This window comes from Homo sapiens, chromosome 9 (assembly GCF_000001405.40).
Source record: "Homo sapiens chromosome 9, GRCh38.p14 Primary Assembly".
Lineage (NCBI taxonomy): Eukaryota > Metazoa > Chordata > Mammalia > Primates > Hominidae > Homo > Homo sapiens.
In genome coordinates this window covers 138,015,754-138,039,579 of record NC_000009.12, presented here as the reverse complement: position 1 = coordinate 138,039,579, position 23,826 = coordinate 138,015,754, and the positions used below count along the sequence as shown (strand labels likewise).

At 48.4% G+C, this 23,826-nt stretch overlaps 1 protein-coding gene across 2 annotated transcripts in view; it reads right to left on the bottom strand.

Annotated features, from left to right (window-relative positions):
• Positions 1-23,826, bottom strand: part of CACNA1B (calcium voltage-gated channel subunit alpha1 B) — a 246,838-nt gene that overhangs the window by 85,040 nt on the left and 137,972 nt on the right. For both annotated transcript variants that reach the window (NM_000718.4, NM_001243812.2), the window contains exons 19-20: positions 15,769-16,569; positions 14,408-14,625 (exon numbers count right to left, since the gene is read on the bottom strand). In NM_000718.4, the coding sequence (NP_000709.1) occupies positions 14,408-14,625; positions 15,769-16,569 (1,019 nt within the window). The remainder of the gene's footprint in view (positions 1-14,407; positions 14,626-15,768; positions 16,570-23,826) is intronic.

Sequence of the window (23,826 nt, the reverse complement as noted above, 5' to 3'; positions counted from 1 at the left end):
GACTAAAGAATTCATGGGTCAAAAATGATATATTCACAGATGGTACAACTGTGTCCTAAAAAAACAAAATAATCTACAGAAAATTACTTAGAGTAACGAGAGTTTGTTTGATAATTCTGTGGCTGAACACAGAACCAACAGACGAAACTGCTTATTATTTCTATGCAGTAGAAGCAAATAATTAGGAAAGAAAAAACTTTTAAACAATACCATTTTAAAAAACAGAATAAGCAAGGTAAAAAGACAAAAAGACAGTTTCAGGATAGAAGAAAAGAGATAAATACAAAAGTGAGATTAAAATCCTACAATCTTCTATTTGAATTACAAATGCCACGGAATTAATGACATATTTTTCTCTTTTTTTTTTTATTTTTTATTTTTTTTGAGACGGAGTCTTGCCCTATCGCCCAGGCTGGAGTGCAGTGGCGAGATCTTGGCTCACTACAACCTCTGCCTCCTGGGTTCAAGCGATTCTCCTGTCTCAGCCTCCTGAGTAGCTGGGATTACAGGCACGCCCCACTACACCCGGCTAATTTTTATACACTTTTTTTTTTCCCAGCAGAGACGGGGTTTTGCCATGTTGGCCAGGCTGGTCTCGAACTCCTGACACCAGGTGATCCACCCACATTGGCCTCCCAAAGTGCTGGGATTACAGGAGTGAGCCACTGCATCCAGCCACTTTTCTCTTTTTAAAAAGCCCACCAAAAAGCCTGAAAGCAATAAAAACCCAGAAGCAATGACCACAGATGACTGTCTCTAAATACTCTATCTCATCAAAGTAGCCAGGGCATCTCCAGTCAGGTTCTACAGAAGCACACCGTGAGGTGAGACGGGCTTCCAGACGGGAAGACAAAAGCAAGACAGGGAGGTAAAGAAGCCGAGCAAGGGTGCACTTCAGACCAGGTCCTGCAAAGGTGGCTTAGGCTCCCACAGGGACACTCTGGGCTCTCATCTGAACCAGAAGGTTGTACTGACTGAAGCCAGAGAGCTGGCTCTCCTGCACCTGCACTTTCCCTTCACTGGCTAAGTGCCACCTTGGGGGATGCAAACTCCCATGCACTTCCCGTGGTTCCTGTAGTCCAAGGGAAGTCTCTGAAGAGGAGCTGAAGAGGAAGCCCCTGGAGGCAAAGGCCACCAGAGTACAGGGGTGGGGGGGTGGAATCCACAGGAATCACGGCAGTGTCCAGCGTGTGCTGCTTCTTGGAGAAATGAGCAATTCCAGATCGGGGACAGGAAGTGTGCACAACGATCCTGGAACATGCTGTCATAGACGAAAACCAGATAACTGTCAAACTCTACTCCAGGCCTGTGAGAAGGGCAGAACGATCAACTTGAAAGGGTGAACATTGGCCAAGATAGGACAATTTAAGCACCAAAAGTAATAGTGATTGCAAAGAACTGAAATACGTCAAACACGTTAAAATTCAAAATTTTACAAGAATAATTTTCTTCTAGCTCTCACTGGTCCTATTTGTTAATAGGGCATTGATTCATTATTTTGAAAACTTATAAATAAAGGGACAGAATGAACCAAGTACCTTGTTTAATACACATACAAACTGAATTTCAGGGTAACCAAGCAGTTAATGAGGTAAGATCTTTCTTACAGAAAAAGTCAAAATAACAAACACAGAAAGAATCATGAAATTATAAATTCACCATTTTGCGACCCTCACTGAACTCACAGATCTGGGTAACAATCATCAATGTCACTAGAACCATTTAGGGAAAGACCAGTGGAGAACTTCACAATGGCAGATCAGGCTGAACCCACTGCTCCATGTTAGTATCACCCAAAGAGACATCAGACATGACAGAGCTCCTGATACCATATGGCAGGAAGTGTACACCACCACCTGGAAGCCTTCCAAAAGAAGGGAACTGGATTTTTTCTCTCTTTTTTTTTTTGTTTGTTTTTTTTGAGACAGAGTCTCGCTCTGTTGCCCAGGCTGGAGTGAAATGGCGCGATCTCAGCTCACTGCAACCTCCGCCTCTCGTGTTCAAGCGATTCTCCTGGCTCAGCCTCCTGAATAGCTGGAATTACAGGCGCTTGCCACCACACCTGGCTAATTTTTGTATTTTTAGTACAGATGGGGTTTCACCATGTTTGCCAGGTTGGTCTCGAATGCCTGACCTCAGGTGATCCTCCCACCTTGGCCTCCCAAAGTGCTGGGATTACACATGTGAGCCACTGAGCCCGGCCTGGATTCTTTCACAACGGTCTCTAGACATCCTTTGGTTGTCACAACTAGTGGGTGCTCCTGGCATTGAGAAGGCAGAGGCCAGGGATGCTGCTAGGCATCCTAAAATGCAGAGGCCACGGTCCACAATAGAGCTTCAACAGCTCCAAGGCTGAGAAGCCCTGTTCCGGATCTAATTACCAGGTAACAGAATACACTGAGGACAGAGGACTGTACCAAACAACACCATGATGCAAACAACCAAACTGAGAAATTCTACGGGACAAACCATATGTTCTCCCCAACAAATAAATGGCATGAATAAGCAGAGGAAAACTCTTTTAAAGTAAAAGAGACTTAGACAGATTAAGCAAACCCAAATGAGTAAACCTCATTTGAATCCTGACTCAAACCAACCGTAAAAAGTTATTTTTGAAATAACTAGTAAAATTTGAACTTGGAATAGGTGTTAGATAATATTAAGGAATTATTGTCAACATTGCTAAGTGTAATAATGCTCTACAGCTATGATAAATCCTTAATTGTCAGACATGCTTATTGGCGTATTACACCTAAAATGATACACAAGAAAGCAAGAAGAAGCGTAAGTGAAACAACATTGGCAAAATGTGGGTGGAGACGGAGCACAGGAGTTCACCGCATTTTCTCCACTTTCCCGTATGTTTCAATTTTCCACAATAAAATTGATTTTATTTAAGCAGCCCCAGAGAGAAGACAGTCATACATAGGAAAAAAAATTTAGACGAATGACTGGCTTCTCAACAGAAACAACAGAAGGCAGAAGACAGTGGAGCAGTCTCAATATGTTGAAATAAAGATAACAAATGAGAATTTTCTACGATGTAAAACCACGTCTCACAAACAATGGCAAAATAAAGACTGTTCAGGCAAGCCAAGAGAATTTACCACCATCAAACCTCACTAAAAGAAATTAGGGGAAGGCCGGGAGCGGTGGCTCACGCCTGTAATCCCAGCACTTTGGGAGGCCGAGGCAGGCAGATCACGAGGTCAGGAGATCGAGACCATCTTGGCTAACACAGTGAAACGCCATCTCTACTAAAAATATAAAAAATAAGCCAGGCGTGGTGGCGGGCGCCTGTAGTCCCAGCTACTCGGGAGGCTGAGGCAGGAGAATGGCATGAACTCAGGAGGCGGAGGTTGCAGTGAGCCAAGATTGCGCCACTGCACTCCAGCCTGGGCGACAGAGCGAGACTCCGTCTCAAAAACAAAAAAAAAAATTAGGAAAGCTGTTCTTCAGGCAGAAGGGGCGGGGGGGAAAGAAACCCAATGGATGATCCGAAATATAAGGAGTGATGAAATATGAAAAGGAATAACAGAATCAACTGCAAAACATAGGAAAAGAGAACAAGATAGAGAAATCTCTGTCAATTAGAAATTTAAAATCCTACTTACTTTAAAAACTCATGAATCAAACAAGAATTCTTAATCACACTTGGAAAAAATATTTGAAACAAAAAATTTAAACTTTCAATATATAACTAAAATAACTCTCAGAGAGAAACTTAAAGTTTTAAACACATTAGCAAAGTAGAAAAGCTCAATGTCATGAGCTGAGTATCCAACTAATAAATTGGAGAAAGAATATTACAGTACACATACACAAAGTAGAAGAAAGGAAATAATAAATAAGAACAGAAACTGGTGAAACAGAAAACAAAAATACAACAGAGAAGATCAAGAAAGACAAAGACTGGGGCATTGATAAACCATTTAAGTGGACAAAACTTCAGGGAAAAAAGGGCTTATCAAGGGAAGGAGGGAAGGAGGGAGGGAGGGAAGGCTATCAGAAATATAAAAGTGGCCACAACTACCAATCCATCAGAAACTTAAAAAATAATAAGAAACTAGTTTCTACAGATACTGGCAGTCATCTTTTTCTTTTCTTTCTTTTTTTTTGAGACAGTCTCGCTGTTGCCCAGGCTGAAGTGCAGTGGCACGATCACAGCTCACGGCTCACTGCAGTCTCCACCTCCTGGGTTCAAGAGATTCTCTTGCCTCAGCCTCCCAAGTTGCTAGGATTACAGGCACCCATCACCACACCCAGCTAATTTTTGTACTTTTAGTAGAGATGGGGTTTCACCATGTTGGCCAGGCTGGTCTCAAACTTCCGACCTCAAGTGATCCACCAGCCTTGGCCTCCCAAAGTGCTGGGATTACAGGCATGAGCCACTGTGCCCGGCCAGCGGTCATCTTTTTCTTGAGATGCTATAAGATAATGAAATGCCTACATGATGAGACGAACTGAGGTGAATGACACAGGCATTGTGATGCAGGTGGAAAATTCCAGAAGTAATTCATAAGTTTTAAGTTGCTAGCTGTTCTAAGTACCATGATGAAACCCCACACCGTTCTGCTCTGTCCCACCTGGACTGCATTAGTCACTTAGCAGCCATCTGGGTTATGAGGTTGGCTGCCATGGTATTGCAGTAATTATGTTCAAGTAACCCTTATTTTACTTAATAATGGCCCCAAAGTGCGAGAGTAGTTATGTAATAAATATTTTCAGACCACAGTGGACCTCAGATAACAGAAAGTGGGGAAAGTAAAACCATGGATAAGGGGGGACTACAAGATCCTTGCACATCATATATAAGGCAAATATAAGATTCTAACAGGTAGAAGGAAGAAAGAAAATATTGGCTAGGGACCTTGGGACCTGAGGAATGACACAACAATAAGTTTCTTATTTGAGTTTTCTTTTATGCCTCATATATATCCTAGATTTGGTACTAGTGAACCCAACAACCCAGAAATGCCAATAGGCACAGATTTTTTAAAGGCTCAATAAACCCAGCTCTCCCTAGTGAAAGGACTAGGAAAGGGGCAGCCTACCGAGATATAAAACTTATAGACAATAATCACTAAACAATAGCCAAACTACACACACAAGCCAAAAAAAAAAAAAAAACTATGACCCTACTTCCACTTATACCAGCAGAAACTGGGTGGGGAGCCTAGACTTCCACCCTCACCACCATCCCAAAGCCCCTGCTAGGGTGGTCTGAGAGAGAGCCAAGTGGGAGCAGGGACTTTCATCCCTATCTAGTGGTAACAAGACCCCCAATACACACAATGCCAGTAGAGATCACACGGGGAGCCTAGACGTCACGTCTCACCCAGCAGGAATGAGACAATCTCTTCCTCTTACTCAATGGAGCAAGCCCTAGTGGAAAGTCAGGACTTCTACTGCTACCTGGAGGTGATAAGGTCTATCTCCACTGTGTCAAGGCCAGCCAGCTGGGGAACAGTAACAAGATACTCCTATCTCTCCCAGTCAGGCCGGTATGAATGGAAGCCTAGTGGGGAGCTAAAACTCCCAGCCCAGCCTAGCAGTAATGAGTAATCCTTCTCCCCTAGAATGTCAGTGGAACTCAAGTGAAGAATCCATACTTCTATTCCCATCTGTCAATAATGGGGCAACTCTCTACAACCCCTGTAATATGGTTTGGTGTGTCCCCACCCAAATCTCACCTCAAATTGTAATCCCTATAATCCCCACGTGTCAAGGGAGAGACCAGATGGAGGTAATTGGATCATGGGGGTGGTTTCCCCTATGCTGTTCTCGTGATAGTGAGTCTCACGAGATAGGATGGTCTTATTAAGTGTCTTGCGCTCACTCTGTCCTGCCACCCTGTGAAGAAGGTGCCTGCTTCTCCTTTGCCTACCGCCATGATTTTAAGTTTCCTGAGGCCTCCTCAGCAATGTGAAACTATGAGTCAATTAAACCTCTTTCCTTTATAAATTACCTGGTCTCAGGTATTTCTTCATAGCAGTGTGAGAAAGGACTAATATGCCCCACTACTTGCTGGCGTGGCATCACAGTAGACAAGCTAAAACTGAAGATGTAAATAAGACTTAGGGCTCATAACACAATACCACTGAGAGTCTAGGTTTCAACCAAAATTCACTTATCACACCAAGAACCAGGAAATCTCAACTTGAATGAGAAAACACAATCAACAGACACCAAGATGATACAGATGTTAGAATTATCTGACAAAGATTTTAAAAACACCCATTATAAAAATGCTCAACAGATAATTTAAAACACACTTAAAACAAATGAAAAATATAAAATTATCAGCAAAGAAATAAAGTCTCAGGAAAGAAAAAGAAGATATAACGAACCAAATGGAAACTTCAGAACTGAAAAATACAGTGACTGAAATTAGAAAATCAATAGATGGGCTCCACAGCAGAATGGAAGGCACAGAGGAAAGAGTCAGTGAACTGGAAGATAGAATAATAGAAATGATCCAATCTGAGCAACAGAGAGAAAGTAGACTTAAAAAAGTGAACAGAGCTCAGGGGCCTTTGGGACTATAACAAAAGATCTAATATTCATGTCATCAGAGTCCTGGAAAGAAAAGAGAAAGAGGCAGAACTAAAGAAGTATTTAAAGACATAAAGGATGAAAAATTTCCAAATTTGGCAAAAGATATAAACCTACAAATTCAAGAAATTGAGCAAACCCCAAACAAGATAAACTTAAAGGAACTCACATCAAAGCACACTGTAATCAAACTTCTGAAATATAAAGACAAGGAAAAAAATCTTGAAAGCAGCAAGAGATAAACAACATCTTACCTATAGGAAGAAAACAATTCGAATGACAGTGGATTTCTCATCAGAAACCATGGAGGTCAGAAGGAAGAGGCACACGTTTTTTTCAAGTGCTGAAAAAAAAAGAACTGTCAACCCAAAATTCTATACCCACTGAAAATACCCTTCAGGAATGAAGGGAAAATCAAGACATTCTCAGATGAAGGAAAACTAAGAGAATTTGTCACCCGCAGACCTACCACAAAAGAATGCCTAAGGAAGTTCCCCTAAACAGAAAGTAAATTATGAAAGAAGAAATATTGGAATATCAGGAAGGACGAAAGAATAACAGGAGTAAAAATACAGGTAAATACAACACACTTTTCCTCTCCTTTCGAGTTTTCTAAATTATGTGTGACAGTTGAAGCAAAAATTATAACATACTCTGATGTGGTTCTAAAAGTACATAGAAGAGCTATTTAAGACAATTACATTACAAATGGAAGAGGAAAAAGCGATATAAAGAGAGGTAAAGCTTCTATATTTCACATGAACTGGTAAAATGACTACATGAAGAAACTGGAGTAAGTTATGTATATATAATGTAATACACAGGGCAACCACTAAAAAAACCTATACGAGGTCTTAAAAAACCTATAGAAGAGATATACTCAAAAATACTACAGATAAAAGGAATTCTAAAGTACATTCAAGTAACCCACAGGAAGGGAGAAAAAGGAAACCAGAGAAATGAAAAACAGAAAGAGAAAAACAAAATAAGAAATAAAATAACAGACTTAAGCCCTAATATATCAATAATTATGCTAAGTGTAAACAATCTAAATATGCAAAATAAAAGACAGAATTGACAGAGTGGATTGAAAACATGAATACTATCTACAAGAAATTTACTTCAAATATAACTATATAGTTAGGTTGAAAGCAAAAGGTTGAAAAAATATATACCATGCACATATTAATCAAAAGAAGGCAGGACTGAACATATCTACATAAGATAAAGTAGACTGCAGAGCAAAGAAGATTACCAGGTACAGAGAAGGACGTTACACAACAATTAAAGGGCCAGTCCACCAAAAAGACATAGAAATCCTAAATGTGTATGTGCCCAAAAACAGAACTGCAAACACATGACGCAAAAACTTACAGTACTGAAAGGAGCAAAGATAAATCCACATTTACAGCTGGAGACTGAATATCCTTTTCTCAACAATTGACATATCTAGACAGAAAATCCGAATGTAGACAAAGATACTCAATAACATCATCAACCAACAGGATCTAAACAATGCTTATAGGAATGCACATCAACAACACAGAATGCATGTTCCCTTCAAAGGCTCACAGAACATACATCAAGATATCCCACATCCTGGGCCACGAACCTTAACAAACTTAAAAGAACTGAAATAATACAGAACATGTTCTCTGACCATAAAGTAATCAAACTAGAAGTTAATAACAGAGAAATAGGCAAATCTCCAAATGTTTGGAAACTAAACAACACACTTCTAAACAGTCCATGAGTCTTCTCAAAGGAAATTTTTTAAACGGGACTGAAAAAATATACAATATGAAAACCTGTGGAATGCAGCTGCCAAGAGGGAAACTTACAGAGCTAAATGTTTGCAGCAGAAAAGAAGGAAAGACTCAAATCAACAATCTAAGCTCCTACCCCAAGAAACTAGAAAAGAAGAGCAAAAGAAGCCCAAAGCAAACAGAAAGAAGGAAATAATAAACAGCAGAAATCAAAAGAAATTGAAAACAGAAAAATAATAGGGAAAATCAATGTAACAATAATTTGGTTCTTTGAAAACATCAATAAAATTATACAAACTCCTCGTAAGACTCACAAAGAAAAAAGAGAGAAGACAGCAAATTACCAATATAAGAAATGAGACACAAGTTACCACTACAGATTATGCAGACATCAAAGGGATAATAAGGAAACATCACAAACAACTGTATACACTTAAATAAAAGGGACTAATTCCTCATAAAGCACAAACTACTACAACTCATCCAATATGAAATAGATAACACTGTATCTATTAAGGAAATTATATTTGTAATTTAAAAATTCCAAAAAAGAAATGCTTCATTGGCAAAATTTCCCAAACATTTAAAGGAGAATTAATATCAGTTCAACATAATCTCCTCTAGAAAATAGAAGAGGGACAATCCATTCAATTCAAAACATTTTATGAATCCAATATTACTCTGATACCAAAACCAGACAGAGACAGCACAAAAAATAAAACTACAGAGCAACATCCCTCATGAATACAGACGCAAAACTCCTTAACAAAATATTAGCAAATAGAATTCAGCAACATAGAGAAATAATTATACACCAGTAGGGTTATTCATAATGATAAAGGCCAGTTTAATATTTGAAAATAAATCAATATAAAATACCATATAACAGAAAAAACACACACGATAATATCAATTGATGCAGAAAATCATTTGACAATATTCATCCACTCACCACAAAAATTCTTTAAAAAAAAAAGCAATGAACGGGAACTTTCTCAACTTGATAAAGAACATCTACCAAAAAACAAAACAAAACAAAAAACAACCAAACAAACCCAAAAACCTTACAGCTAATATCATACTAAATGATGAAAGACAAAATCCTCCCTCCAGGAAAGATGTCAGTTCTTGCCACAGCTATTCAAAATAGTACTGGAAGTCACAGACAGTGCAATAAGGGAAGACAGGGAAATAAAAGGCATGTATGTCAGAAAGGAAAAAACTAAAACTGTTCATTTGCAGATGCCTTATACTCTCTGGAAAATCCCAAAGAATCTACAAACACACACCTAGCACAAATATAAGCCAAAATTACATAGTTAATTTTGAAATTTGATGAAAATGGGCTGGGCACAGTGGCTCACACCTGCAATCCCAACACTTCGGGAGGCTGAGAAAGGCAGATCACTTGAGGTCAGGAGTTCGAAACCAGCCTGGCCAACATGGTGAAACCCCATCTCTATTAAAAATACAAAAAAATTAGCCATGTGTGGTGGTGCGTGCCTGTAATCCCAGCTACTCAGGAATCACTTTGAACGAGAATCACTTTGAACCCGGGAGATGGTGGTTGCAGTGAGCCGAGATGGCACCACTGCACTCCAGCCTGGGCGACAGAGCGAGACCCTGTCTGGAAAAAAAAAAAAAAAAAAGGAAAAGAAAAACACAAAAAAACACAGGATCAGAAATGACAAGGAGGAAAAACACTGAAACAGAGGGAAATTTTTAAAACTTTAAGCCACTCTTAAGGCTATGTAAGTAAGTGGGAAAACCTAGATCAAATGGATAATTTCTAAGGAAAATATAATTTACCAAACTCATCTCAAGAGGCAACAATGTTTAAGCAGACCAACATCCATACAAAAAAAGGGGTATTACAAAGGAACTGTCCTACAAAAAGAGACCAGACATCAACAATTTCACAAGATAATTCTATCAAATATTTAAAGACCACATAATTCCTATACTACATGAGCTACCCTTGAGCACAAGAAGACATTCTAATTATTTTTATGAACCAATAACGGGAATATCCTACAGAATATATCCTTGGATAGTATTTCCCAATAGAGCACTGCCAAGTTTTATAATGCCCATGCTTCTGGAAAACATATATATCTTTCATTACAGTGTTGTTGACTTTTCTGGCTGACATTTATGTTAAAAAAAAGTATACATGCCCAAAAGTCAATATAATGTTTTTAACAAAATAATGTGGGGAACAACTCTCAGGCAGGATTCCAAATTCAGTTGGTTGTGTGAAGAAACCTGAAAGAGCTAATCCTTCAAGATGGATCCCAAGTGGCTAACTGAGCCTACATTTAAGTCAGAGAGAAGCAGCCATATGCTGAATAGAGGTCCCAGAAAACCCACACCTTTTTAACTCTGGGAACTTTTAGAGCTCACCTGAACCAACCAATCAGAGTTCACTTGCCTCAGCCAATCAGAGCTCAGCTATATGGACCAATCAGAACTCAGCTGTGTCAACCAATCAGACCAAGCAAGTCTGAATCCTTCATTTGCATAAAGGGACTTGATTAAGCACCTGGGCAGGAAATGTCAAAACTTCTCTTTCTCCTCTGGAATGCGCCTTCATTTTACAAGGAAGGCTGCATCTTCCTGGTTTGCAAACTATTCACTAGAATAAAGCCTGTTTCCTCCAAACTCCTTTTCAGAGAACTTTTGTTCACAGTAAGTTATGGGAATCGTATGGATGTTTTTGAAAAGTACAAGTTTCAATAAAGGAGGTATCTAAAGCAATTGCTTATTACTAGCTATTTTAACTGGTAATCAGGAAACAATATGTGAAGCATTTTATGTTCTATTATGACTGTTTATTAGTTTTCATTGTTTATCTGTGCTTTATATTTTACAAAATCGGTTAGGAATTTTTAGCGGACACATAACACATTATAATGTTTTACCATTTAAAATAATGGGGCCAGGCACGGTGGCTCACGCCTGTAATCCCAGCACTTCGGGAGGCCAAGACAGGTGGATCACTTGAGGTCAGGAGTTTAAGATCAGCCTGGCCAACACGGCGAAACCCTATCTCTACTAAAAATACAAAAATTAGCCAGGTGTGGTGGTGGGCGCCTGTAATCCCAGCTACTCGAGAGGCTGAGGAAGGAGAATTGCTTGAACCTGGGAGGCAGAGCCGAGACCGTGCCACTGCACTCCAGCCAGGGTGACAGAGCAAGGCTCAGTCTCAAAAAAAAAAAAAAAAAAAAAAAAAAAAGGTTGGGGGGGAGTGGAAATGAGACCCTCTTTTAGAACATTTGATTTTCAGGAATGGAGCTGTGAAGTTAAGCAATAGATAACTCTATGTCATTGATATTTAAACCTTATGATCCTCAAATGTGACAAAAGAAAGCTACAGAACACATCTCGCTTAAAAATATCAATCCAAAAATCCTACAAAAAATGTTAAAGAGAATCCAATGGCATATTACAAAATAAATATAATAACCACTTGGATTTATTCTAAGATTGCAAAGATATTTCATATCAAAAAATTCATTACTATAAATCCCCATATCTAAGGAGAAAAAAATATATGATCTCTATGGATGCTGAAAAGGTCTTCAAGAAAATTCAACATCTATTCCAGATAAAAACACTTACTGAAGTAGGAACTAATGGATACCACAACATAATTTTACACACACACAAACAGACACACACACACATCCCTCAGGCCCCAAACCAAAATTTTATTTAATGTAGGCGGAAACAAGGTAATGCCCAGTAATTCCATTGTTATCTGATAGTGAAATCAGACAAAAAAATAATAATGAGTGGTGTAAGACTTAGAAAGAGTTAGAAGTATATTTGCAGAAGTTTTGATAATATATCTCGGAAAAAAAGGGGGAATCAGTGAAACTAATAAACAATTTGAGGATTCAGAAAAGTAGCAGGATACATAATCAACATATAAAAACTAATAGCCTAGATTTCTGTTTCTAGTAGAAGTAATAATAGGGACCAGACAATCAGTTGTTTTTAGCAATCGAAAACACCAGACATTAAGAGAATGAAAAACCAAGCCACAAAATGGGAGAAAATGCTTGCAAAAACACATATCTGATGAAAGACTTGTATCCAAAATATACAAAGAACTCCTAAAACTCAACAACTAGAAAACAAACAGCCAGAATAAAAAGTGGGTAAAAGATTTGAATAGGAATCTCATCAAAGAAAATTATACACATGGCAAATAAGCACATTAAAAGATGCTCAACGTCATATGTCATTAGGAAATTGCAAAATAAACAAGATATCATTACACGCTTAATTAGAATAACTCAAATCCAAAACACTGACAACACTGAATATTGGCAAGGATGTGGAGCAACAGGAACTCTCATTCATTGCTGGTGGGAATGCAAAATGGTACAGTCCCTTTGGAAGATAGTTTGTCAGTTTCTTATAAAGATAAACAGTCTTACCATATAATCCAATAAGCATGCTATTAAGTATTTACCCAAATGAGTTGAAAACTTATGTCCACACAAAAACCTGAACATGAATGTTTAAAGCAGTTTTATTCATAATTGCCAAAAATTGGAAGCAACAAGATGTCCTTCAATAGGTGAATAAATAAACTGTGGTATGCCCAAAAGACAGACTATTAATCCAACGCTTAAAACAAATGAGCTGTCAAGCCACAAAAAGACACAAAGGAAACTTAAGTGCATATTGCTAATGGAAAGAAGCCAATCTGAAAAGGCTGCATACTGTATGATTCCAACCCTATGACAGTCTAGAAAAGGCAAAACTATAGGGACAGTGAAAAAATCAGTGGTTGCCAACAGGGGTGTGGGGAAGAGCATAGGGAGCCTGGGGAGGAGTCACATCTGGATTCCTGCAGATAAAAGCCAGGTAGGGAACCTAGGCTCATCCTCAAGCTGATCCACAGAGAATCAGGTGAGGGAGCTGGGCAGGCAGACTCACTTGTGCCCATGGGAAGTGAACAAGAAAATGAACCAAGGGCAACTTTCCTCCAAGGAAGCAAAGGAAAAGGGGAGGCTGAGCAGTTAGAGGCTGTGTCTTCCATGGTTATACCTGGAATTGTGCGCCAGTCCACAGGCCCCAGGTGAGAGCACCTGAGCAAGAGAGAATGTCATGCACATGTGTGTGTCTGGAGATCTGTCTGCAAACATGGGCACGCACACGTCTGTGTGTGCGGATGCATCTGCAAACACGGACATGCACACATCTGTGTGTGGAGATCCGTCTGCAAACATGGGCATGCATGTGGTGGCACCTGATTGAGTCCGTCTGGTCTGCTTAAGACCTAAATGCTTCTGCTGGCATTCATGTGAGTCCTGTTTCTATGGCCTCTCTTCTACCCCTTTTTTCTCTGTACTTAAGAAAGGAGGGCTCCTCCTTGATGCCCATGAAACGCCCATGCACCTTCCCCACCACGTAAGGGGCCTGTATTTGTAACCAGCAGATCTCTCCCTATTAGACAGGTTTCAAGACAGGAATGACATCTTGGTCCCCTGTGCCCTCAGGGACTGCACACAGGCAGGCATGGAAAGGCTGTTCCGAGCATGTGAGTGAGCAAGGGGAGGAAAGAAGGCAGCTCAAATAAAGGCCTGGGAGCACAGCCTCAGAGCAGGGATGGCACAGGCCCATGAACAAATGGGCAGACGCAGTGGAGAGCCTCCTCCTCTGCAGCCCCTCGCTCTCAGCCCCAGTCAAGGCCGTGGACAGAGTCCTCAGCCAGCAGCTTTTGTGCAACCATCAAGAGTTGTGCCTGTTTTGTGGTCTGTCTTCCTGACAAGACTGTCTCCCTCCTACTATGCTCTCAGCACTCTAACACAGCACCTGGCACTTAGTTGGCAACGTGCAAATATTTTGGGAAGGAAGGAGAATGGAGCTCAACCTCAGTTATCTCTGGGGCACTAGAAATCAACAGGACATCAAGGGACAGATGTTGACAGCAAAGGACTCTCTCTCCAGCCAGGAGAACAATTCACAGAGGTAGGCTGGGTCCCCAGTGGCTGCTGTGGAGCAGGAGGGAATGGGGGTTGCTGGACCTGCACAAGATGGGCCCTGCCCCACTGGCACAGGGAGATACTCACTGGGAACGACCGTGGCTTCCCCAAGAGGGCCCGTCAGCATCACTGGGATATGTACAATAGTGTTCGGGTCTGGGGGCTGACTGCCCATGCGAGTGACGTTCCGCTGATTGTCTGCATCCTCTGGCTGTTCCTCCACCTTCTGGAGACAGGTGCTGGGCAGTGTGTGCATGGGACCCACAGTCACAGTCCCACTGGTCTCCAGGTCACAGTGTGGCTCCCTGCAATCAAGAATGTACATCAGGCCTCGGCGCAGTGGCTCACACCTGTGATCCCGGCACCGGGAGGCAGAGGCAGGAGGATCACTTGAGCCCAGGAGTTCAAGACCAGCCTGGGGAATATGGCGAAACCCCATCTCTACAAAAATTAAAAAATTAGCTGGGCGTGGTGACACGTGCATGTAGTCCCAGCTATTCAGGCTGGGAAGGCTGAGGTGGGAGGATCGCTTCAGCCCGGGAAGTTGAGGCTGCAGTGAGCCATGATTGCGCCACTGCACTCCACCCTGGGCGACAGTGCGGTCCTGTCTCCAATAATAATAATAATAATGCACATCAGCAAAATCCTATCAACCAAAACCCTTAAGCCTCCATGCAGACCAACTAAATCCATAACCACCTGCTCTGCTACTCTGGCCTTCTGTACGTTTTTTAAATTACTCTATACACCTCCGTGTCTTTAGTCCGAAAGGCAGGGATGGGGCTGACCCACCCACACACAAAGACAGGGCGGCGGCTGGGTTGACCCTGGGCTGGGGCCTCCAGCGGCAAGTATTCTGGTTGGTTTGTGGCCAGTGGGTACCTGGCGACTGCTGGTCTTGGCCACTGGACCACTGTTACCCCAGGCCCTCACGGGGTTGGTGAGTCCTGCCCCAGGGAGCAAGCTGGGCTAGCTGGGGTTCTTTCTGTCATGGTCACACAGCCTGGCCCCCACACCCCGCTCTGCGCCCAGCCCACTGGCCTGCTCAGGCTTCCCTTGGGCCCTTCTGCCTCTCCTTCCTCCACTGCAATCCCCAACTTTCTCTTCTCCCAGGGCCACTTTGTTCTTTCCAAGCCAGTCGCAACAATTCCCCCTTAAGCCCTCCCTTCTTAAATAACGGCTGGCATTCACGGAGCACAAACACTCTGCCAAGCCTTTTACGGAGCATACACGCCCTGCCAAGCCTTTTACAGGTCAACCCTGCAAGGCAGGATTGTCACCACCCCACGTGAACGGCATGCAGAGACCCCAGCCCCGACGGCTCTGGACATGGCAGCGTGGCCGGGGCTGCAGCCTCCGCCGTGGACCCCATGGCCGCAGCCACCGCTGGGGCCCGCGCCGCCCCGGCCAACCCTTCCCTCCCTGACCCCGCCCAGCCGCGGACTCACCGGGGCTGGTGGTTCCGGAGCTCCTTTTCCTTGTCGGCTTCCACTATCTCAGCCTCCTTCTCCGTGGCCTCCTTCTCCGTGGTCTCCTTCTCCACAGCCTCGTGAGCAGGCTGCGCCTTGTGCCGGGCCCGGTGCCGCCGCGCCGGCTCCTCCCCGCTCTCCGCCTCCCGGGGCCCCGCTCGGGGGCCGCCGCGGTGCCGCGCGCGCCGCTCGCCCTTGGCGCCGGCGCACTCCTTGCTCGGATCCTGGTGCCGGTGCGCGCGGTGGCGTCGGGGCTCCCGCTCGGCCGCCTCCTCCGGGGAGCCGCGCCGGTGGTGCCGCCGGCCGCCCTCGGGGCCTGGGCCTCGGCCGCGCTCGCTCCGCGCCTCCGGGGGCCCCGCGGCCTCCTTGCTGTGGCTGCGGTGCGGCCGCGGCCGCTCCTCCCGGGCACCGGGCTCCCCGCTCTCCGCCTTCGGGGCCTCTGCTCGGTCCTGGTCCCCCGCCGCGGGGGTCTTGTCCTTGTCGCGGTGCCGGTGGTGCCTGCGCGGAGGGTCGACGCCCTCGGGGGCCTCCGCAGCCTCAGGTCGGGCTTTGCCTCCCACGGGCCCCCGCGCGCCGTCGCGGCCCAGCTCCACCACCAGCGGCCGGTCCAGGTGCGTCTTCATGTCGGGCCGCAGGTGGCGCGTAGTGGCGAAGCGCAGCCGCTCCTCGGGGTCCATCTCGCTGTACAGCGCCTCGCAGCTGGCCCGCAGGTTCTGCAGCCGTAGCTGGCTGGCCCGCTGCTCCCACACCGAGCGCGCCTTGGCCGAGTTCTGCTGCCTGCTGCGGGGAGACTGGCGGTGAGCGCGGCCCCGTCTGCCGCCCGCCCGCCGCTCTCCAGGGAGGCCACAATGCACACACAGCAATGGAGTAATGGCGCAGGGAGGTGGGAGGCGTGGCCGCGGGAGCCCCCACACCCCTCGGGGGACGCGGATCAGGTGGGGAACGCCCAAGGGAACCGAATTCAGCCCCGCCGCCCCCCCCCCCCACGGTGTCCCACAGGACCCGCAAGGTGAAAGCACCAGCCTGTCAGGAGGACCCTGGGGGGCTCAAGGAGGCCGAGGGGTACAGGACAGTGGGAATGCACCAGACAGGCCAAGCAGGTGGGTGGGCGGCTGGCCAGGAAGGCCACCGCGGGAGGGAAGGGCATGTTACAAAGGGCAGGACGGATGGAGAGGCAGGAGCCAGGGAGGCCCTGTAGCCTCCCTGGGAGCTGGCCCCTGCTGCAGCACCAGCACAGCTGCTACAGGAAGGGCGGGACACGCGGCCCCTTCTCCAGAGGCACTTCCCCATCGCTGCCTCCAGGAGGCAGGCCACCAGCCAGGTGAAAAGGCTGTTTGCCAGGGAACCCAGAGGGCAGTTGCTGTGGCAGAGCAGACAGCAGCCAAGGGAGCACCTGGCCCTTTCAGGAGCAAACGCAGAGCCTCTGCCAGTCCCCGAGGTGGTCAGCCGCAGCCCCGCAGCTGCCCCCTGGCTCAGTGACCAGGAGCCCAGAAGTCAGGTCTGAAGCTGGAAATGCCACCTCCCGTGGCCACCAATGCCCTCCTCTCTCTTGACTCCATGGAGAGCCCCTCCCTCTACTGGGAGCAGAGCCAGAACATGGTCCTCGGAGCCCTCCAGCACCAGGGATGGCCAGTGGTCCAGGCTCGGCCCTCACTGCATGGGCTACCGAAGGCCTTGACCCCTACTCCAATGTCATGGGCCCAAGCACCTCCTCTATTCACACATCACACATGGGGCTCCATAGCCCAGAGTGCACAGGAAGCCCTTTGCATTCTGGGCCTTCTGCTGAGTAAGACCACCTTTGGATAAGGTCTTATTATCCCAAAACTAAGCCCCACCATCGCCAGGGAGAAACCTCATCTGAGGCCAGAGGCCCGCCCTGGAGCCTCCAAGGCTGCTGGATGGCCTTGGCGGCAGCAGTGACTACACCAACAATGAGGGCCATGGCATCTGTGTCCTGCAACTGCCACGTGGTGCTCTGGGCGCAGTGCCCACTTCATCCAGTCCTTACAACCACCTCAAGAATCAGGTGCTACTCTTGTCCCCATTTCACAGATGAAGATACTGAGCCTAGAGAGAGGATGTTACTTGCTCAGGGTCCCACAGTGAGTCAGGATCAGACACAGGCAAGGGCAAAAAGGAAAAACATTTCTAAAGAAGACACGAGTCCTTGGCCAGACCCCAACTGCACTAACAACACAGGCTACAACCACGGCCTGCAGAGGCCCAGGCCGGCGGCCACCAGCTCCGGGGCCCTGAGCCGCTGAGCACCACTCTGACCTGCAAAGACAGAGCAGCCAGATGTGGGAAAGCCCAGTCCCTGCAGCCGGCCCACCCCAGGCAGGTGAACAATAAATCCTGCCCCTTTGTAGAAGTCCAGGCTGCAGTGGGAGCAATGTCCAGGGGCAGCACTTTGCACGAATGAAAGCGGAAGTGTGGTGTCTGTGTCTCACCTGGGAGCTTGGGTGGGGTGGGGGCAGGCAGGGCTACCTGTAGGGGCCGTCTGCAGACCCCCAGCCTCAGTTGAAGCCCCAGGCCCTGACCTGTATCCCTGATGCATTTAAACTGTGCTGCCCCTGCTCCCAGGGGTGCCCTACAACTGACCCACAGAAGACCCACCAACCCCAGCTGGGACCAAGACAAAAGGGCTCTACTGCCAACAGTGCTGAGTGGTGTAAAACAGAAGGCAGCCCCAGGGGCTTGCACCAGGCACAGGAGCCCTGTGAGGGCGGAGGCTGTTCACTGCCTCAAGCCTCCCAGTCCACTCCAGTGCCCGAGAGGGGCCTGGGCTCTGAGCCACTTGGTCAGCAGGGTGGCCCGCTCTGATGAAGCCGTGAATCTTGGGGACCAGCATTGCAGTTCCAAAAAGACAGGCAGTGAGGACCATGGGGAACATGCAGAGGCACAGGGTCTGTGTGAAGGTGGGGTGGGCTCCAGACCATATAGCTCTGCCCTCACCCTTGCATTCAGGTGTGGCTCCTTCTCGCCCAGGAAACACCTGGAGCAGGGAAAGGCCAGGCTGTCTGCTGGGCTGAGGGCGCTGTCAGGCTGGCAGGCTCCCCCGTGACCACCCAGGCAGAGCAACATGCTGAGCAGCCTACGCTAGGGCACCTGCCCGCCCCCCGCAGCCCCACTGGTTCCACCTGGCCTGTTCCTTCCGGGCCTATCTGCCACTGTCAGCCCTAACGTCACCAGAGACTGTCTGCATCTGCCCTCACTCGGCCAGCACCACCAAGTTCCTCTCTGGAGGTATCCCCTAGGTCTCTGAATCTGCGTGCCGGGCCTCTCTGCATGGTGTCTTAAGTCAGCCTGCACCTCCCCTGGCCCCTGTCTCTGTCCTTGCTCTATCTGGCACATATCCACACCAACTTAGAGTGAAGTGTGGCTGGTGATTAATCCAGGCAAAGTCCTGGTTTAAAAGGGTTCTTTAAGGAAGTCACATGGACGACTGGCACCCCTGTGTCCTGGCCTCAGCTGGTAGGCACAACCCAGCTGTTCCAGGGAGGAGGGCTCAGCCATGCTCAGCTGGGTGCTGTGGGGAACTACAGGACTTGGAAGTGGCCTCAAGGCGCTCTGTGGCCCTGCTTTGAGGTCTCTGGGCTCAGACAACCCGGAACTGCTGACAATATGAAGCAGCCCTGGTGTGACACCATGGATACCTGCCATCTGCATTTTTTTTTTTTTTTTTTTTTGGGAGACAGAGTCTCGCTGTGTCGCCCAGGCTGGAGTGCAGTGGTGTGATCACGGCTCACTGCAACCTCTGCCTCCCGGGTTCAAGCAATTCTCCTGCCTCAGCCTACCGAGTAGCTGGGACTACAGGCGCCCGCCACCACTCACGGCTAATTTTTTGTATTTAGTAGAGACAGGGTTTCACCATGTTGCCCAGGCTGGTCTCGAACTCCTGAGCTCAGGGAATCCGCCCACCTCAGCCTCCCAAAGTGCTAGATTACAGGTGTGAGCCAGCGCGCCCGGCCACCATCTGCATCTTACATCTTATTCCACCCCGCGGATGGATGCAGGATCCAGCATGCTTTCTTGCCCCAGGAGACATCAGTGCCTCTGACAGCCAGCAGCAAACAGTGCTCGTGGAAAGACTGAGCCCAGCTCCATGCTGGCTGCCAGCAAGGAAGCACTGGGCAGGGCGGGGGCGGCAGGGGCCTCACCACCACTAGGACAGGGACAGGACACCTGGCCACTTCCATCAGGGCAGGTGGCCTAACTGCACCTGGCCACTTCCATCAGGGCAGGTGGCCTAACTGCACCTGGCCACTTCCATCAGGGCAGGTGGCCTAACTGCACCTGGCCACTTCCATCAGGGCAGGTGGCCTAACTGCACCTGGCCACTTCCATCAGGGCAGGTGGCCTAACTGCACCTGGCCACTTCCATCAGGGCAGGTGGCCTAACTGCACCTGGCCACTTCCATCAGGGCAGGTGGCCTAACTGCACCTGGCCACTTCCATCAGGGCAGGTGGCCTAACTGCACCTGGCCACTTCCATCAGGGCAGGTGGCCTAACTGCACCTGGCCACTTCCATCAGGGCAGGTGGCCTAACTGCACCTGGCCACTTCCATCAGGGCAGGTGGCCTAACTGCACCTGGCCACTTCCATCAGGGCAGGTGGCCTAACTGCACCTGGCCACTTCCATCAGGGCAGGTGGCCTAACTGCACCTGGCCACTTCCATCAGGGCAGGTGGCCTAACTGCACCTGGCCACTTCCATCAGGGCAGGTGGCCTAACTGCACCTGGCCACTTCCATCAGGGCAGGTGGCCTAACTGCACCTGGCCACTTCCATCAGGGCAGGTGGCCTAACTGCACCTGGCCACTTCCATCAGGGCAGGTGGCCTAACTGCACCTGGCCACTTCCATCAGGGCAGGTGGCCTAACTGCACCTGGCCACTTCCATCAGGGCAGGTGGCCTAACTGCACCTGGCCACTTCCATCAGGGCAGGTGGCCTAACTGCACCTGGCCACTTCCATCAGGGCAGGTGGCCTAACTGCACCTGGCCACTTCCATCAGGGCAGGTGGCCTAACTGCACCTGGCCACTTCCATCAGGGCAGGTGGCCTAACTGCACCTGGCCACTTCCATCAGGGCAGGTGGCCTAACTGCACCTGGCCACTTCCATCAGGGCAGGTGGCCTAACTGCACCTGGCCACTTCCATCAGGGCAGGTGGCCTAACTGCACCTGGCCACTTCCATCAGGGCAGGTGGCCTAACTGCACCTGGCCACTTCCATCAGGGCAGGTGGCCTAACTGCACCTGGCCACTTCCATCAGGGCAGGTGGCCTAACTGCACCTGGCCACTTCCATCAGGGCAGGTGGCCTAACTGCACCTGGCCACTTCCATCAGGGCAGGTGGCCTAACTGCACCTGGCCACTTCCATCAGGGCAGGTGGCCTAACTGCACCTGGCCACTTCCATCAGGGCAGGTGGCCTAACTGCACCTGGCCACTTCCATCAGGGCAGGTGGCCTAACTGCACCTGGCCACTTCCATCAGGGCAGGTGGCCTAACTGCACCTGGCCACTTCCATCAGGGCAGGTGGCCTAACTGCACCTGGCCACTTCCATCAGGGCAGGTGGCCTAACTGCACCTGGCCACTTCCATCAGGGCAGGTGGCCTAACTGCACCTGGCCACTTCCATCAGGGCAGGTGGCCTAACTGCACCTGGCCACTTCCATCAGGGCAGGTGGCCTAACTGCACCTGGCCACTTCCATCAGGGCAGGTGGCCTAACTGCACCTGGCCACTTCCATCAGGGCAGGTGGCCTAACTGCACCTGACCACTTCCATCAGGGCAGGTGGCCTAACTGCACCTGGCCACTTCCATCAGGGCAGGTGGCCTAACTGCACCTGGCCACTTCCATCAGGGCAGGTGGCCTAACTGCACCTGACCACTTCAGGGACCCCTCACCTGCAGGGCCTGGCCTTGCCCTCCAGGGGAAGCCCCTGCGGACCAGCCATCCATGAGCACTTCCCCATGAGAAGCTGCCCGAGGGGATGCCAGCCAGTCACTCCCTGGAGGGCCACCCTGGAGTTTCCGTGTCTCTGCCTTGGGCCCTGGGTGGTCTACTGTGAGCTTCCCAAGTGGACAACAGCTCTCTGCTCTTGCTAGAACAAGGACTTCCTGAGAATCACAGACACAGTCCCTCCCAAGTAAGGGGCCTAGGAGGACCCATAAACGTCCCCAGTGAGCCCCTAAAGAGCACTCTCTGCTGTGCCTGCTCACAGGGCCCTGACCTCATGGGAACCACAAGGAGACCTGAACCCATGACGCCCAGTCCACTCAGGAGAAGCAGACACACTCGAGACACCGGAGTGAGCGGACACAACAGGCAGCAGACAAAAAGACAGAGACCAGGAGGGAAAGGAGGAGGCGCTGAGCGCAGAGGGTCTGACCCCGTGGCAGGACTTGGGGACATCAGGGAGCAAGCCCACCATTCCCCGCTCAGGCCACAGAAGCCCGGCCTGGAGCTGCCCCATGAAGCAAATGACTTGCGGTGAGATAGCAGAGTTAGGAGTGGAAGGAAGGTGTCTGCATGTAGTTATCATGAAGCCATGGATGGAATATCGTAGCAGAGCGACTCACGGTGAGTTCACGCTGGAGACAGATGAGCTGCGAGATACAGTACCTCGAGCTTGCTTTACAAAACTGCACATGCAAAAAACAGAACAGACAGAAGTGAGAAAACCAGAGACAGAGTTCTGAGAGAACCAGTGACACTGAGAGCCACGCCAGTGTAGGCGCAGGCTGCCATGTGCATCTGGACAGGAGGCCGCAGACGCGTCCGTCAGACGGGCACCAGCCGAGACCTCAGGGTGAAAGAGAAGTTGAGAACCAATTCCACACATGCAGAAAAGTGAGACTGAAGTGAGACAGCAAACCCTGTAATGCCTGGAAGACAGAAGCCATTAGCTCGGGGGCCCATCCATCACTCAGCACACACTGCCCAGGACAGGCAGTGCGGCTGGGAAGACCCAACACCGATTTTCCTGCAGTTCCAAACAGCCCCCTGCACCCTGCGGCGGGAGGCTGACTGCACGGTCTCCCGGCCCTCAAGATGGGGCAGCATAGACTAACAAAGGAGGCGAGGGTGCCCCCGCACCCTGCGGCGGGAGGCTGACCGCACCGTCTCCCGGCCCTCGAGATGGGGCAGCGTAGGCTAACAAAGGAGGCGAGGGTGCCCTTTCCGGAGATGCCGCCTGGTCCCTGCTGCCGAACCCACCTGACTTCCCGGCAAGCACCTGGACCCCACTCTGGTTCCAGCCCCAGGGCTCCCCAGGCTGCAACCCAGGCGCCTCTGGGCCACCAGGACACCTCCAGGGCAAATCAAGCCACACGCCAACCCACCTTCCTTTTGGATGCAGCTCCAGCCATTTCCAAGTGACTTTCAAAGGCTTTTCTAAAACCAACAGAAAGAAACCAAAGCTCCCTTTACAGCCATTTCCCTCCAATTAACTTCCCAGGGGAGGGCCAGGTGGGCTGCAGCCCCTCCTTCTCAAGGCCAAGCTCTCTGTGCCTTTGTGGGCAGTCAAACCAGCTTACTTGCCCACAGGCTCTGGCTTCAAACAGGCATGTGTGTGAGAGGGTGTGTGAGTGTGACACTGTGTGTGTGAGACTGTGTGTGAATGTGTGAGATTATGTGTGTATGTGATTGACAGTGTGGGATGATTATAACTGAATGTGTGAGATTGTGAGTGTTGTGAGGGTGGGTCTGTGTGTGTGTGTCTGTGTGAGTCTGTGTGTATGATTCTGTGTGTGCTTCTGTGACTGTGTGTCTGTGTGTACTTGTGTATAAGTGTGTATGTGAGTCTGTGTGCCTGTGTGTGTGCTTGCCTATATGTATTTGTGAGTATGTGTGTGTGTGTGAGTGTCAGTGTGACTCTGCAGGCTGCCAGTGTTCAGAAATTCATGTGAGGATGAGGCTGACCCAGCAGAGAACCAGGAAGACATGTCCCTTTAAGCAGTGTCACCTGAGGCCCACCTTAGTGTCCCTTCAAGCAGCTGTCACCTGAGGCCCAGGATACGCACAGCAC